The sequence below is a fragment of the Homo sapiens genome, chromosome 11 (genome assembly GCF_000001405.40).
Source record: "Homo sapiens chromosome 11, GRCh38.p14 Primary Assembly".
NCBI classification, from domain to species: domain Eukaryota; kingdom Metazoa; phylum Chordata; class Mammalia; order Primates; family Hominidae; genus Homo; species Homo sapiens.
The window spans coordinates 110,576,179-110,593,701 of record NC_000011.10 but is presented as its reverse complement, the minus strand read 5'-3'; the positions used below and the strand labels follow the sequence as shown (position 1 = coordinate 110,593,701).

General features: G+C 37.4%; 1 protein-coding gene and 1 long non-coding RNA gene across 8 annotated transcripts in view; one reads left to right on the top strand and one right to left on the bottom strand.

The window, feature by feature from the left end:
• The window catches only part of ARHGAP20 (Rho GTPase activating protein 20), a 136,147-nt gene extending 119,488 nt beyond the window's left edge, over positions 1-16,659 (top strand). For 6 of the 7 annotated variants that reach the window (NM_001258418.2, NM_001258416.2, NM_001258417.2 and 3 more), the window contains 6 exons: positions 1,547-1,725; positions 2,893-3,054; positions 7,377-7,486; positions 9,965-10,154; positions 11,267-11,381; positions 12,477-16,659. In NM_001258418.2, the coding sequence (NP_001245347.1) occupies positions 1,547-1,725; positions 2,893-3,054; positions 7,377-7,486; positions 9,965-10,154; positions 11,267-11,381; positions 12,477-14,332 (2,612 nt within the window). In that variant the 3' untranslated portion in view covers positions 14,333-16,659. Of the gene's footprint in view, positions 1-1,546; positions 1,726-2,892; positions 3,055-3,816; positions 4,281-7,376; positions 7,487-9,964; positions 10,155-11,266; positions 11,382-12,476 lie in introns of those variants that run through there. The other variant, XM_005271628.4, reaches the window with a different exon arrangement.
• Positions 5,200-9,969, bottom strand: LOC124902753 (uncharacterized). The gene is made up of 2 exons (XR_007062888.1): positions 9,157-9,969; positions 5,200-5,564 (listed from the first exon to the last, which is right to left on the bottom strand). It is a non-coding gene; the product is annotated as an uncharacterized LOC124902753 (long non-coding RNA).

Below are 17,523 nucleotides of genomic sequence, written 5' to 3'. Positions count from 1 at the left end.
CTTTCTGGGATCCCCCCTCACTTTCCAGCTGTGGGTACCTCTGTCTCCCTTCTCTAGTTCTTCAAGCCAGTAAGAGTAGGTTTCTTCTCAACTTTTAGTCACCCCCATTACCCGGGGGCCTGCCCTCAGCCTAAAAGCTGTAAGATTAGAAAACTCACCCAGTGCTATGCCATTCCCTTCATCCAAGTGTCACACTTTGACCTCTATATCTACCTTCTTTTGCTCACTCTTTAGTGCCTTCAGCTAGGTTTATTTTGGTTGGTTTTCCAGAGTTTATAGTTGTTACTTGTGTGTATCTGTTGGGAAGAGGGGACAGAGAGGTCAGCCACTTTTAAAAGTGTAACCTTAAAGAGATTTTTATGTATTAAATCATAAGCAAACCTGTTAAACTTCATGTTAAAATTAGACACAAATGACACCAAAAACATTTCGGCACTATGGTATAAAACCATACCTTACTGTTGACCTTTCTTCTGCCTGTTCTTTTTCATGTTGTCTTTTTCTACTTAAATCCCTCCTCAATTTCAATTATTGTTTAATAACAATTTAGTGAGTACTCACTAGATGGAAGGCACTATGCCAGATGCTCTATCTGTTAAAATCTTGTTCATTCAAAATCCAAGTCAAATGCAAACACCCCCAAGATCACCCCCTCCATCTTATTGACCAGATGTGATTTACTTTCCTCTGAATGCTTTTAGTACTTTGTTCCTACCTCATGACATTATATTTATTAACATACTTGCTTTTCTCCTCACCCTGACCAGTTCTTCATCCCTAGTAGATTATAAACTTCATGTTTGTGTCCATCCATGCTTCCTTAAACATACTTTAAAGTCAAGAACTGAAAAGAAACATAAAAGTCTACAGTTGCAAAGAAAGGAAAAAACTTTAGGACATTAGCTTCCTGTCTGTGTTCTCAAGAGGAGAGTAGTATGTCAGATACTAAAGGATTCTTTATTTCTAACGAACATCTTAACAGAGAAAACTCCTCTCCTCTTTCTTCTCCTCCCCTCTTCCCTTCTCTTCCTTCTTCCTTTTTCTTCCTCCTTTTCGCTTTCATCTTGTCCTTCTCTTACTCCTACTTCCCCTTCCACCTTTATCTTTCCCTCTTCACACTTTCTTTTTTCTCAGTATTTAACTATAGTCTTATTTAAACTTTTTGTATGCTTAGTCTCATCTTTAAAATGGGAAAATAAATGGGTTTGTATGAAACGCTTTTTGCTTTTAGGTGTTACAGTTCAATAAGGGAGTCTTTCACCTTTGAAAATGTAGTGCCAAAATTCAAGTAAACAGACCAGTGATGTCCAAAAACTGGATGGGAGAAGAACCCAAACATTTGATTCTTCCTTCATTGATTCATCTTTCATTTATAAGATGAAAGACGAAATGAAATTTTATAGGTTGAATTGTCAATGACAAAAGCCATCTATTAGCATCTTTTTCTCTTTGAGCCATAGCAACAAACATACCATAAAATGGAAGTTATAGAAATAAGATTAAGTGAATGAAACTCATTTTTCTAATAAGCTCACTTCTTCCTTAGATTCAGGTCATAAGACATTTAAAAGGAGAAGATCTATCATAAACTGGGCCTTCTGGCGAGGTTCTAGCACTCACCTGGACAACTTGCCCTCATCGCCAACATCACCTATGCCAGGACAGCTCTTTGGAATTTCTCTGCCAAATATTTGTGAGAATGACAATCTGCCCAAACCTGTCTTGGTAAGGCTCATTTTGGTCTGTAAACTGATGGGAAAGGGTGTTTGGGAAAGGAGAGCTCTGCGAGGTAAATCTGTCCCCAAATGGAAAAATTATAGACACCACTGTCTTTGGCTAAGAATCTTCACTATTATTCCTCCAAATAACAAAATCTGATTTAGCTACTGTGAAATCAGAAGGAAGACATAATGGGAAGAAATAACCTAGGAAAGAGCCACGTAAGCTTTCTCAGATAAAGCAGAATTTGCCCTGCAGACAGAATTCACATTATTCCTCACAAATCCTTTCTTGAACGTCACATTGTTCTCAAAGTCTTCTTTGATCATTGTAGCAACAGAAACTACTCGATCCTACACTTAGGTTTTTAAATCCGTTTTATTTATATTTCAAGTGCTCACGCATAAAGATACATTCCCTGGCATTTATTTATCTTTTGTATATAGAGTGGGTCAGATGAAAGCCACTGGGTTTATATTATCTCCAGTTGATATTTTAAATAATCACTGCTAAGCAGTATTGAGTCTCTAGTATCCTTCAAGCACTATACTACATATATGGCATTTTATACTATATTATGCATCTATAAATGCAAGACACTTGTCTAGCCACTTTATTTATTCTTCACAACAAATTTAGGGGATAGTTGTTATCATGTCATCATCTCATCCGTTTACAAATTGTTTTAAAGCCTCAGTACTGCACTCAATGTTACACAGTAACCAAGTGGCATAACTAGGTTTTGGATCCCATGGATTGCTTGTCTTCAAAACCCATTCTCTTCTTACACTGTAAGCAGGACGTAGTGATAGAAAGGAAAATTAGAGAACACTTAAAATTCACTCTCTGAGCAATTTTTAGGAATATAATGCATTATTAACTATAATCATAATGTTATATAATAGATCATGTGACCTTATTCCTCCTAACTGAAATTTTGTATCCTTTGACCAACATCTCCCCAACCTGCTCACCACCACCCCCAGCCCCTGGTAACCACCCTTCCACTCTCCAAAAAGGTGACTTTAATTTTTCCGGCCATTTATTTAGCTCCAATCCTTCAGTGCTTTTACCCTAGCGCACCCTAGCCTCTGGCATCCAAAGAGGGCAAGTGTACATTCCCTTGTGTGTGTGGAAGTGTCATTTTGTTTATTTTCCTTTGCTTCCCCATAGGATATGCTTTTCTTTCTTAATCAAAAAGGACCTCTCACCAAAGGTATCTTCAGGCAATCAGCCAATGTGAAATCCTGCAGAGAACTAAAAGAGAAATTGAATTCTGGAGTCGAAGTACACCTAGACTGTGAATCTATTTTTGTGATAGCATCTGTCTTAAAGGTAAGAAGAGTCATCCCTTTATCCACCCCATGGTGTAGCTCTAGAGAAAGAGGGTGTTTTACTTTTTCATTATGAACATTATTTCTATTTGCAAAGACCCATAATAGATTTATTAACATAATTTTTAACACTAAAAAGTGTTATAAAAACATTTCACAAAGTCAACATTGGACTTTAAAAGCTACCACTGATGATATGACATATCAGATATGCTTTTTAAATTTTTATCCTACACTAATCTCATCTTTACTTCTGCCACTCCATGTAAAAAATAAAAATTGTAAGTTTAAAAAATCAAAAAACACACGTATACCAAAACAGACATCCTGCTTATGATTTCCTCACTCTCTTACTACCTTCTTAATGAAGGCAGTTTTCAAATATAAACATTAGACATTTGAAAACAGTTAAAGAAGTTTGCCATAATAAACATTTGGCTCACAATTGAAATAAAAAATTGCTGAGATCACTGAAAATTCCATTTATTTTCATAATCATCATGCCTTCCCTTTTTTTTTTTTTTTTTTGAGGCGGGGTCTCACTCTGTCGGCCAGGCTGGAGTGCAATGGCATGATTGCGGCTCACTGCAACCTCCACCTCCTGGGTTCAAGTGATTCTCCTGCCTCAGCCTCCTGAGTAGCTGGGATTACAAGCCTGCACTACCAGGTCCAGCTAATTTTTGTATTTTTAGTAGAGATGGGGTTTCACCATGTTGGCCCAGCTGGTCTCTAATTCCTGACCTCAGGTGATCCACCTGCGTCAGCCTCCCAGAGAGCTGGGATAATAGGCGTGAGCCACCGCACCCAGCCTAATGCCTTTTACTTTAAAAGTGGAGTAAGAATGACTTCAGCATCTAAGTTTTCCTTTACTTTTACCACACTTGGCATTCTTTGTGGTTCTTACACTTTACCCATTGTTACTTAAGTCACATCCATGGTTACAGAGATAGAGAGTTCTAAAATGTTTTCTGCCCCCACATTCTTGGAAATGCTCTACATTTTTGGAAACACCTACAGTCAAAATGAGCTTTAAGCAGAGCTTTTGACCTTAGCAGTATCTTCTGCAGACCTGTGTCAGGCTCTCACCTCCCAAAGGATTGGAATGCACCAGAGCTAGGGGTCGAGACAAGGCCCCAGCCTGTATCTCAGGCTGAAACGTGAAAACCAAGTTAAGGAAAATATGGTGAAGAAGATTCTTGCATACCCCTACTCCAGCTGAGTGCCCAGGTGCTTACAGAATGTTACTTCATGACTTTATATACAATCAGATGTTTCTGGATAAATAAGCCATATCTGCTCTTAAACCCTGCTATAAATTTTTGCAATTAGATATCATGCAAGAGAACTGGAGGGTTGAAGCTAAGGTCACCTCATCTGTTTTGCACAGGGTTTATGATTACTCTTCAATCCTGGAACACAATAAAAATATGTATATGTAAAATACAAATATGCATATGTAAAAATATGTAGCCAGATATATATGCCAAGGTTTTTTATGCATGATAAATTTTCCTTTTTTATATATATCTCTTAGTTTACAAAGGTAAAGCTTGTGTTTTTTTGTTTTTTGTTTTTTTCAGTCGGGGTCTCACTCTGTTGCCCAGGCTGGAGTGCAGTGGCACGATCTCGGCTCACTGCAAGCTCCACCTCCTGGGTTCACGCCATTCTCCTGCCTCAGCCTCCTGAGTAGCTGGGACTACAGTTGCCCGACACCACGCCTGGCAAATTTTTTTGTATTTTTAGTAGAGACGGGGTTTCACTGTGTTAGCCAGGATGGTCTCGATCTCCTGACCTCGTGATCCGCCCGCCTCGGCCTCCCAAGCTTGTGTTTTAAAACAATTTTCTTTAACAACCAAGAATGTTTGCAGAAAAAAAAATTTCTTACTATGCTATTCTTCATAGCATTACACTTCTTAAAATTTTGTGCTAAACTATTGATGCTATTGCAAAGAAGCATGGTTCTAGAAGAGTTAAATTATGTTTCAAATTGCAGAAATATTTGTCCAAAAATAACCAAAAGGCAAAAAATGATCCAAATGATTGAAAAGTCTGGTTAAATGTGTTCCAAGTAATTAACATTTTATCGTATGTTTTACCCCCTTTTCTTCCAAGTGGTTGCAGAAAGGGAGATAATTTTTAGCAAAAGTTCTTAAGCTTTTGTTTTATTTCTTGTTTTTGAATCTGTTTTGAAGTGGTACTTTTTTTCACTTATGCTGGTTTTGCTTAAATATAAGTTTAAGTTATAGCTTAACTCTTCAAACTATAATTGGATAAAAATTGCTGAAGACACTATAACTTTGATCCATCAAACCGTTGAGGAAAAGTTCATATTTAATCCTGCAGTATCTCATCTCAGATGACTTTGAGGGTTCTGCTGATGGCCTTGGCTCTGGTTTTGGAGGAGAGGAGACATTCAACTAAGTGCTGTGAGCTGGTGATTGCAGTGCAGAATCGGCTCTCACATCCTTCTCAGCTGTGATGATGGTGGTATTTCGTAACTTGTTATTCCAGCTGTGGGAGAGTTCATTGAGATGTTACGAGTTATTATCTTTCAAGTGTAGGTTTAAGATGTTAATGATGTTTTTCTTCAAGACAGATCATAAGTATGTTTTCCACTGAGATTTAAAAAGAGAGCTATTGTCCCTACCACATTTTGAAATAACAGATTTTGCTTCTTCTAAATCTAACTTCTAAAGTGGGTACAGCAGCTAAAATTAGTTTGGAATTATGAAAATTCAATCACTTTACCCAAAAAGAGGTAACTTTTGTAATGATATACCTGAATCACAAGCATGCAGGTACATTTCTGCTAGAAGATATAATAGAACAGAAGAAGACTTTGAATTAGTCATTCTTCCTTCTTGTTAAACATTCTAAAAAAAAAAGGATAGTAATAAAGTGACATGACTACAAAGAGGCTTTTCAAATTATCTTAAAATCTCAGTTACAGTTGATTGGCCTTCTCTTGGCTCCCATTAATATTTGGCCATATGCAATTTAGCAGCAGTTCACTAATGTCCTCTACTATGGCTAGGACTGTGCTTGGCATTGACATGTACAAAGAAGGGTCTGTCCCTACCCTGGAGGAGCTCATAAGCAAGTGGGGAAGATGCCCACATAATCAGCTGATTGTAACAATAAGTTATCACAGCTTCTATATTACTGTTATAAACATGATATCTAAGTAGCAAGTTGTGTGTTGCCTTCAATAAGGCACATAGATAAAATTATTTATTTGGTTTAGCAAGAGGTAAAATTGCCCAATTGCAGACTTTCACCTGTCCTCATGTTGCAAGCATGAAATTGCAAGAGGGTAGCCAACCATGTGTATGGTACTTAAACACGATATTGAGTTTACTCTGCCTAAAGTTTACTAAGGTGGAGATCAGACTGCAAGCTTGACCTTGGTAATGCCATACCAAAAGCAAGAGAGACAGTTGGCCTAGAATCAACTCTGTAGGACCAGGACAAGAACCAAATTTTGTTATTTTTAAGCTTTTTGTAAACAAAAGCCAAACAACAAAAGCTAAACAACAAACATACTTGGTCATATCCTGTTTGTGTCATAGTTCAGCCTTACCACACTCAGCCCTGCCAGTGGTCTCAGTAGAATAGGGTCTCCTAGAAAAGGATAATATCCTGTGGACATGTTATTTAGCATACATCAGGCATGAGTGTGCTGCCTAAATTTCTAGAACCCAGCCATCACCTGAAATGCTCTCTCTCTCCAAATATATGAGAGCCTTTCTACAGGGAATACAGGGAGAAACCTTAAGTACCTCTTGATGCAATTTTGCACTAATAACACTGGAATATAAAGTTCCAAGATAACAGAGACTTTGTTTTAGTCACTTCTCTATCCCTAGCAACTTAAATAGTGCTTGGCACATATGAATAAATGCATGTAGAATGATTCAATGAATGACTACCAGACAATGAACCTCATAGATACCTTGGTACATTTCCTTGAACTAGCTGTCTAAGGGACAGGGGAAAAGGAATTTAGGATGGTTTACTGCCAGACCTTGTCATGTCATACTAGTTCACTAAAATATATGCAAACAGTAAGTTTCAGCCAAATGAGTTGTCCTTTATTTTCCCACCGTAATGAAGACTCCAGTTATCCCAATGATCTTTGCTATAAGAAAATCAAAGTACATGTTTCTGTGTCCCCAAGTCAATGGAGAGTTGGCGCAGAGCTCTGTGTAGTTCACAGAAGAGAGTACGTAAGGGAACTTTTCAACAAAATGTCTTCTACTTTCTCTAATACATATTTGGCATGAGGATAATTATTTGAAATATTTGTTTTTCCATCTATTTAAGGATTTTCTGCGAAATATTCCAGGAAGTATTTTTTCATCAGATCTCTATGATCACTGGGTCTCTGTAATGGATCAAGGAAATGATGAAGAGAAAATAAATACTGTTCAAAGGTAATTATTCTAATTTGGTCATGTCTCAAAAATACTTTAAAAATATTTTATAAGATTATTTATTAAAATAATGACAGCTATCAAAGTCATATCCATGTGGACCAGTTTAAAAATAGATGTATGCTAGTTTGTCATTGTTTTCCTTCTTAATCTTATAGTTGAACATTGTAATACTTGAAGATTGTACACCTTCCATATACCTGAATCTGATAGGAGCTGAAATCCATTAGTCCACTAGCTAATACTATACACCCAATCTTCAGTTTATGATCTTAATTTTTGTAAATATTTAACCAGACAACTCATCATATATTGCATTCACCAACTGAAGTCATACAGAGAAAATGACTTATTCTGTCTTCTCATGGAACTCAGTCTGGTAAGGTAGATAGAAAAATCAAGAATTACAATGCAGTACAATCAGTGCTAGAAGAGAGATTTGGAGAGTGTTGTGGAAGCACAGCAAAGACACAGTTAAGTCCTTGAAAAGTGGAAAGGAAAAGCAGAGTTGCAAAGGACGTCTGATCACAAAGGATGTACTGTCTCTACTCATGCAAAGGGAAATTGCTGGTAGAACTCACTACCCCATTCCTGGACTTTTCCTGCATTATAAGAGAGTAAGAAAGAAATGTCCCTTAACAAAAAGCAGTATTTCTAGTTCTGTGAATACTCAAGAATCTCAATATTATTTACTTGCATTTGCTTGTTTAGTACAGTTGTTTTTTCTTAAGCAACTTTCATATATGAATTATCTACAACTTTCACCAGTAGAACATAGTACAGCTGCTGAAGACACCAGAAACCAAGGCCGTTTAACAAAATACCACCTCCACTTCCATTATAGTTTGGCGTAAACCATTCAGATAGTGAGCATCAAATTCTAAACTGTGTTGCTATATATCCTATAAGCTGTTAAAGGATTTTTTTGGAAAAAGGTAAAATTATGACTCTCATGCAAATATAAACACGTGAAATATTTTGTTTAAATCGTTTATGAGGGAACTAGTAAGATTAGTAAGATGTTACAACCAGTTCAAAGGAAATTTCAAAGTTGAAATCATATGTATATATTCATATATACATTCACATATATTCATATATATTCACATATATTCATATATTCACATATATTCATGTATTCATATATGTTCACATATATTCATATATTCATATATATTCACATATATTCACATATATGTTCACATACATATTCATATATTCATATATATTTTCACATATATATTCATATATTCACATATATTCATATATTCATATACACATATATTCACATATATATTCATATATATATTCACATATATTCATTTTTACATTCACATATATATTCATTTATATATTCACATATATATATATGAATCAGAAATGCTAAAGTGAATTTGCAAATAAATACAAACAAAACTGACCTCTTCTATCAGGGCAGGGATGCAGATCAATCAGTTCTCTCCACCAGAATTTTCACATCTTTAGACAAGTATTAGATGCACTGCTATCAGTTAGTTATAACTTACACAGAGTTGTAAAATAGCTCTTATTGTGAAAAATCTTAGGGCCCCATAGAAGCAGAAAACCCAAAAGCTTATGCTAGATGCCTTATTTTCCATTGAATACACCCAGTAATCTTTTGTTCTATTTCAAAGTCCTTCATAACTTACCCTTACAAAAACTATGCTCATTGTCAGTCCATTGTACTAAAGAAAGGCCTCCCTGCTATTTGTGCAAGCAGCAGTCAGACTATCATCTTTTCCCTAGGTTGCAGGTTTCTATTGAAAAAAAAAAAAACAGTCATGAATATCAGTATATTTGTACTTTTTGGGATAATAGTAGTCATTTTTGCTGACTGATCATTTACAAATCCCTTATCAATTACAACATGAGAACAGCAGAAAATCTACTATAAGCAACTGATATGTGAAAGTGATACAATGAAACAGATTTAGGACAAAATTGACCTTGGAAGTTGGTGGAGCAGAACATAAGCTCTCAAAATGGACCTGGACGTCTTGATAGCTAAGGTTTGGGTTCTTACCAAGAGACAGCATTTCTGTGTTGCTACTTAAATGAGCATTTTATAAATTGCTGTTTAATTTTATCAGAAAGCTTTTTGTTGTTTTTGGTTGAAAATATTCTGAAATGTTACAGGATTGGCCTAAGTTTGCATTATGCTAGTTTCAGGGAAATATTTCAGGCAGCATTTTTTTTAATGAAATATTTTTCTGCATTCTTTTACATTTTCTTTGAGATGTGAAGACAATATACAAAAACAAAAAATAAATTCCCAATGCCTATTTTTTCTTTCTGTACAGGCAGTCCTCACTTTGTATGGTACCATGTTAACTGAAACTCTTGCATATCTGAACTGTGTTCTTGATTTCCCTCTTCCCCATTCAAAGTGAGAGTTGCTTGTCTTTACAAGTTTTTGAATGAAATGTCTTGCTTAAAGAGTAATTTTTCTGTCTTTAGGCTATTAGACCAGCTTCCGAGAGCCAATGTTGTTCTCCTAAGGTATCTTTTTGGGGTGTTACACAACATTGAGCAACATTCCTCATCCAATCAGATGACTGCATTTAATTTAGCTGTGTGTGTCGCTCCAAGTATTCTTTGGCCTCCTGCTTCCTCCAGCCCAGAACTAGAAAACGAATTTACAAAAAAGGTAATGAAGTTTTTCATTTTTATGCCCTGGGAGACTGAGTCCCCGTTTTGAAACTGAAATTTGGGGTATTCTAAAAGATGATTTCTTAAATAACTTAAATATACCGTATCCTTATAAATTTGACTTTACTGGTAGACTATAGGAAAGTGAATTGTTAAGTAGAAAATGATAGCAGATGGGTTACTTCTCTTTTCCCTTTAAGGAGGCTAAACACCATGATTAAAACCATAAAGTGATAAAGCAGCTGATAAGATTTTTTAAATGAAAAGAAAAAAAGGACTTTGGAACTAGGACAGCTAAGCTTCCATTCTCAGCTCCACCCCTTGCCAGATGTACAGTCTTGGGCAAAATTACATTGACCCACAGTGTCCTCATCTAAAAATAAAATGGAGTCGGTGATAATACAGTAGTTACTTGAAATCACACTCCTGTAGTCCCTGACAGTTAATAAGGGGTGTGGGGATATCAGTTCCCTTTGCTCTTAACATTTCTCCTGCCCCTTGGCCTCAGCTACTGGGGCAAGGGAACTTCAGAAAGGTTCCAGTACCTCTCAATGGAGTCACAAAGCTCCCTAGTAAACTCTTACCTTTCCCTGCAAGCACCTCTTGTTAGGGAGCCTATCAGAAGGTGGCAGTACATGGATAGACCTGTCAGCCAAATGACTGGGTAGAGACTAGTCAGGAACACAAGTTTTCTTTCTAGCTGTCTTTCTCCTTCACAGTGCACTCGCAGATGAGCCCTCTTCCCAAGCTTATGACAGCCTGCCCTTTACACAAGAAATAGTTTTTATAAGTCTTTGTCTAATGATGCTTTATAAATTTTAATAACAAAATATATTTCTTTACCCAATTTTACAGACAGAGCCATTGGTATAAAACATTAAGCCAAGGCTACAAATAATAACTTTAGTCCACTGATTACATTTCTATGCCCAAACTACTTTTAAAAGTATCATAGTTTTTTAGGGAAACTGTTTAATGTACTTTTAAAGCCGATATGAATTTTTCTCTGGGTAGATGTGGTTTTTGTTAAAAATCAGGATTTATATATGAAATGTGATTTATAAACATGTAATATGAAAAGTAATACTTCGTTTGTCCTTTTTCTTACAGGTTTCCCTGCTTATACAATTTCTGATTGAGAATTGCCTTAGGATATTTGGAGAAGAAATCACTTCCCTCTTCAGAGAGGTTTCAGTGAGATGTGACACTAGAGAGAATGCCTCAGGTATTGTGAATAATTGGATTGGTTTTTGTGAGAAACAGACACATGGTTGTTTGTAAACGTGCTGGGATAGGGGTTTTCCTGGAGCCCACAGCAGCTGAAGTGAAAGGAGCCTCTGATCCAGGTCAATGGGGCCCAGGGCTTTTTGATCCTTCCTTAGATGGCCTGCCAATAGGTCAGCATATGTTAACAGTGTAGTGGGATTAAGAACTATATAGAGATTAGGTTCCAGCCTTCAATAAGTTAGTGGCAGCATGCTGTGGTATGATGTTTTTTGATGGGCTTTTTAACTTTATGAATAACCCTAATATATATAATAGAACTGCTATGGTTGAAACTGGTGTAGAAAGCCCAGAGGTAGTAGAGGCATGAATGTTTTTTTTTTTTTTTTTTGTCCTCTCCTTCCTTGTACTGGTCCCTCAGACACGTCAGAATTCTAGTGTGCTATGAAACAGTTTGAAACAACTAGCATCATTTGAGGTGGGGGAACACTGAATTCGAAGACATACAGCTGCCTTCAGAATATGAATCCTTGTGCCATCAATTACTAGATATGTTATCTTTGGCCAATTATTCTATGCCACTGAACATCATTGTCTTTATCTCTAAAATGTGGATGAAAATAATGTCTAACTTTTATGGTTGTTGTAAAGATTAAATAAGGTAATGGATATTAAGGAACTTTGTAAAAGAGACATTGTTAGAGTTAGTAAATGGTTTCCCCAAGACTAGTGTTAAGTATGTATAACCACTAGCAATCTGTTAGAAGGCAGAGTCTTACTCAGAATCTGGATATACTTATACCATGAAGGCAATAATTCCTTCATATTTTTTACCATTTCTTGGTCATATGACATGTTCATTGCTTTAAGAAAATCTTACTTAAGGAAAGCCCATTCGTCAGGAACTGAGATAAATCTCCTATACCCCAGCAATTTTATTTTTATTCTTCACTAACAATTGAGATTGTGAAAGATTCTCTCTTTCTTGAGAGTAGGAATTTGAACACTTCACATGAAAAGAGAATTTGTTCTTAAGGAAGCATGAGTATATTTGTGGTAAGTAAATATGTTAATCATGGTTTAATTTTTTTGACAGATATTTCTTGCTTTCAACTGAATGACTCCTCCTATGACAGCTTGGAAAATGAGCTAAATGAGGATGTTGATGCACCATGCAGTGACTTGGTAAAGAAACTTGGCCAGGGGAGCAGAAGCATGGACTCTGTCTTAACCCTCAGTGACTATGATCTTGACCAGCCCGAGGTGGAAGGCCTTTTAACCCTAAGCGACTTTGACTTGGCCCATTCTAAAGATGAAGATGTTCAAATGAAACGGCCTCTTGAATCCAAGCCGGTGAACATTTTAGTGTACACAAAGATCCCACTGCGGGATCATGCCAGGGCCCCATCTGCCATGTGCACACCCAGCTACCTGTCCACAGCTGCAGCAAATGCTGCAAAAAGCCTGAGGCGACACCGGCGTTGCTCAGAGCCCAGCATCGACTATCTGGATTCAAAGCTTTCCTACCTCAGGGAGTTTTATCAGAAAAAGCTACGCAAGTCCAGCTGTGATGCAATTCTTTCTCAAAAAGATGAAGACTATCTGAAGCAGAATCAACCCCTCCAGGAGGAAGGAAAGACATGTTTTAAACAGAGTTTAGTCACAGGCACTGATGTCAGCAAGAAAAATGCCACTACTCAAAACACTAAGAAGAAAAGCTTGTCTGGTAGTGAAGGAAATCACGTGAAACTTTTCCCTAAGTCTAAGCCAGTGGCCATTTCTGTGGCATCTTATAGTCCTATGTCCTCACAGGATCATTCCAAGAACCAGCCCTTTGATGTGAATACATCTGGATACTCCCCACCACACACAGCAGATGCCCTCAAGGGTCCAAGGACACATCGGCGCTGCTCAGAGCCCAACATAGAAGACCAGAACCGCAAGCTGACCTATCTCAGGGGAATTTATTCAAAGAAACAACATAAAACCAGCTGTGAAGCTGGTCTCTTGCATGGAGAGGAGGATTATCTCAAACGGCATAAGTCTTTGCAAATGGAGGGGCAGAAGCTCATTAATCAGAGTTTAGTCATGGGGATTGAGGTGGGCAAGAGTAGTGCCACAAACCAAAACACTGAGAAGGTTTTACCCCCAAGATTAAACCTTTGCCCAAGGACCAGCTATTCCAGCTTATCCTCCCCAGGCACTTCCCCATCCGGCTCATCAGTAAGCTCCCAAGACAGTGCTTTTTCTCAGATTTCTGAACACTCTGTGTTTACACCCACTGAGACTTCCTCTCCAATAGATTGCACTTTTCAGGCTCAGAGAAAACGGGAAGACCTTTCTCCTGACTTTAGCAATGCCAGCCATGTTTCCGGAATGCCCGGTCCCTCATCAGGGCAGGCTTGCAGCCGCCCAGCCTATACAAAGAAGGACACCATGGAGTGGCATTCACAAATGCATTCTGTAACTCTTCATCCCAGCACATGGTTGAGAAATGGTGTGGCCAGTTTGAAAAACTGGTCCCTCAAAAAGAAAGCAAAGGCAGCCAGACCAGAGGAAGAGAAAATAGCTTCTCCAAAAGGACCCTTAGAGCCACCCCCACATGCTTCTGGTGTTCCAGAAGCCAACTCACTGCAAGAGGAACAAAAAGACTTGCCCTTAAGGGCAGCTGAAGGACTGTCCCCTGTGCAGTCAGCCCAAAGGTGTAGTTCTTCTCCCTTCCAGGACTCAGAGAGACACTGTAGCTCTCCATTCAGCCTGGTGGAGAGCAGACTTAAGCTGTGCATGAAGTCACATGAGGAAATAGAGCCTGGTAGTCAGAGCTCTTCTGGTTCTCTGCCTTGGGAAAGAGCCTCAGCCAGCTCTTGGACTCTAGAGGATGCGACCAGCCCAGACTCAGGGCCTACAGTGGTCTGCGACATTGAGGACAGGTATTTAACCAAAGACATTTAAGCATAGTAAGAATCTGATGTCCACAAGAACAGGAACTGGGTTAATAATAATAGACAATAATTATTATGACCCCTTTGTATAAGATACCTGGGAGAGGTAGCATAAGGATTATCATTGCTAATACTTAGGACAACGAAATAATTCTCTTTATTGAGACTACTTGACAAATACTTTATGCTAAAAATTTTGTCACCTAAGTGTTTGGGAGGCTTTTTCTTATTAAAGGTTGGGATTGGTCCTGTCATGTGGTTTTAGAGATACTAACAGAGGGCTAGAGAAAGCATCTTCTGCAGAGGAAGCACTTATGGGAACAGTCTGTGAGATTGATGTCCTGAGAAGACCAAGATATCAGGAATGAGGAATAGGGGCCTGAGGAGAGAGGGGAAGGGTACAGAGAAACCATCTACATTCCATGGAATGTTTTTAATAAGTAGGCAAGAAAAATGCCACTAATCAAAGCATTAAGTGTGTCCAGTAATGAAGAACATCATATAAAATCTTTCCCTAAATCTAAGCCAGTGGCCATTTTTGTGGGATCTTACTAATCACGTGTCCTTACAGAATCATTCCAAGAACCAGCCCATTGCTACAGCTAGAGTGGAGAAAAACAGAGTGACTCAAAAGCCATGGGTACCATGATATCAGTTTTGTTGGTTGTATTTGTCGGTTTGTTTTTTCATTCATGTTGAAGTGCTTTGCAAGGCTTCAGGAAACAGAGTTGTGAGGAGAAAGAAGAAAATGGCTGCCCATTTCAGTACCCTTTCAAAGGTATCTCTGCCTAGGAACATTCTTCAGAAATGCAACTTCTTCTATTTAGAAGGTGACCTCCTGACAGCGTTCACTCTCAATATGGAGGAAAAGACCACAACAACTGTCCTTTCTCAATTACACAAATGCTGTTAAAATGTGATCAAACCATGGCATCACTTTGCTGAAATGTTTCTGCACAGTCCTGCCTCTTAGATTACAGTCAGCCAGAAAAACATACTTATAAATCATCCCTTTTCTGATTTTTGTAGTTTGGCAATTGAGAGAGCAATATTGAGGTTGGCCGGTTATAAGGAGTCCCACAATAGAATACCCAACAAAGTGGCTGCCAGGCCTTCTCAGACAGCCATTTGCTTTGGGTTTTGCTTCCAGACGTTGTTCCATATTTTTGCCCCAAATGTTTCATGGCTTATACCCCATTGGTTTATTTTATATCCATGGACCTTTCTTTCTCTGCTTTCTTGACTTAAAGGTTGCAGCAGTACATCTCGTCACCTAGGAATAGATTATCAGGCCTTGCCAACTAGTATGCAGGGATGGCACTAAAAATGGATGTGCATCTTCTTTCACATTAACTACTAACCTATAAGAAGTTGCTCTGAGCCCATTTATTTAAACTCTTTAGTTCACCATCAGATGGACCTTTCTCTCACAAGCTAGCTTATTCCAAATTATTTGTCTTATTAATCACCAGAAAATGGTCATATCAAATGTTCTTTCTTTTTTGTTCTAAAGGTTGCATTTTCAGTTATAGGGGAAAAAATATTTTCTCTAAGATAGAAGAAGTTATTTCAGTATTAGCTATAGGTGCTACCTACCTCTTGGGGACATGGCCCTGTTTGCGCTAACCATTACAATGATCTTTTAGAACTCTGTATCCAAAGAGCTACTTCGTGACACTGGCCATCTGAGTCACAGATGTGAAGTCGATTTCACTTTATAACTAACCAGTCCTACATATTAAGACTTCTAAGTGTCCATATGCATCTTTTTTGGTATAATATATAAAGTCAGCAGGGACTCCCCTTTCCCTTAGGGCATACTACTGTCAGTCAGAACTGCAAGATGTGAATGAAGCTCTTAACGGCTTGGAGTGTCTTTCTGGAAGAAATTGCCTTTTTTTTTTTTTTCATGTTAGCAGGTAAAAAATCATTCACCCAATTTGAAGCATAGAAGAAAATAGTTGCTGAGGTTTTTTAATAACCATTCCTACTATCTGTGTTCCCTTAGATACTCCTGTAATTCTTAATGTGAATAGTTTGTTAATATTGCTGTAAAGTATTATATTGTATGATTTGAAGACAGACTATATGTCATTTTATTATACTCCATCAATCTATAATATATTAGACTGATGCTTTATCTAAAATGCTTTGAGTTTGTATAATATATCTTGACAAATTTTACTACCATATGTTATGTAATAAATGTGTATTTTTGTACTTGCAGAAACTGCTGCTAACTTTTAAAGTTGTTTGGTTTTCAAGGCACTGATAATGGATATGTATGAAGTCCATGCTGTCTGTTAAATAAAATGCCATTCTGCAGAATTAACCATCCCACCAGAGCAATATTGCCCTTTGTAGAATTGTTCTAGTTAATGATCCCAATCTCTGCCTAACATTGGAAATTTCATAGAGTATAATCTAACATTGGAAATTTCATAGAGTATAATTAATGTTGAATTTGAACCTTGAGCTTTTAGTCAGAACCTGTGGTCAGTCTGTCTTTTTAGGAAAAGTGGTTTTTTAAAATACTTTTTTTCTAATGTTATTTACCAAACAAACAAGTCATGTTTTAGATACAAAGTCTTCATTTTCTTAGCATTGTGTTTTCACTGTGCTCCTGGAATGAGATATAGTCAGTATTCTTATGTCAAAGAACCATAAGATCACTTCGATTGTGTGAGATTTTCTTATCTAAGTTTGGACCATTCTAACCAGAATACCCAGATGACCCCAGACACATACCAAGACATCAGTGCTTTTCAGGTCATATAAATGTATTTAATATGACGAGATTGTCATGACTACTACAGCTTTGCCATCTGAAAGTTGGCTGAGGTTCCCTCTGTGTAAAGTTAATCACTATTTCAAAGGGATTCAAAAACATATTCTACTTTAGTCCAGACAGGATTTCTCTCTAAATATTACAGAAACACAATGATAATTTCACTTTTTAAAAAGAGTCTTCATCTAAAAGCACTGAATTTAAGAGATTATCTCCTTTGTGCTTTTCTACTTTTCATGACATGACATTGCTTCGAAGGAATCTAATGTATATCTTTGAACCAATGCCATATTGTTTCTGCTGAAAAAATAATTCTAAGAATATTATGTATCTTCATCCAAATTTTGGTGGCAAGTGTTTAATTTGTATTTTCCTTCCAGGTCATGTTTTGTTTGTTTTGTTTTCATTTTTGT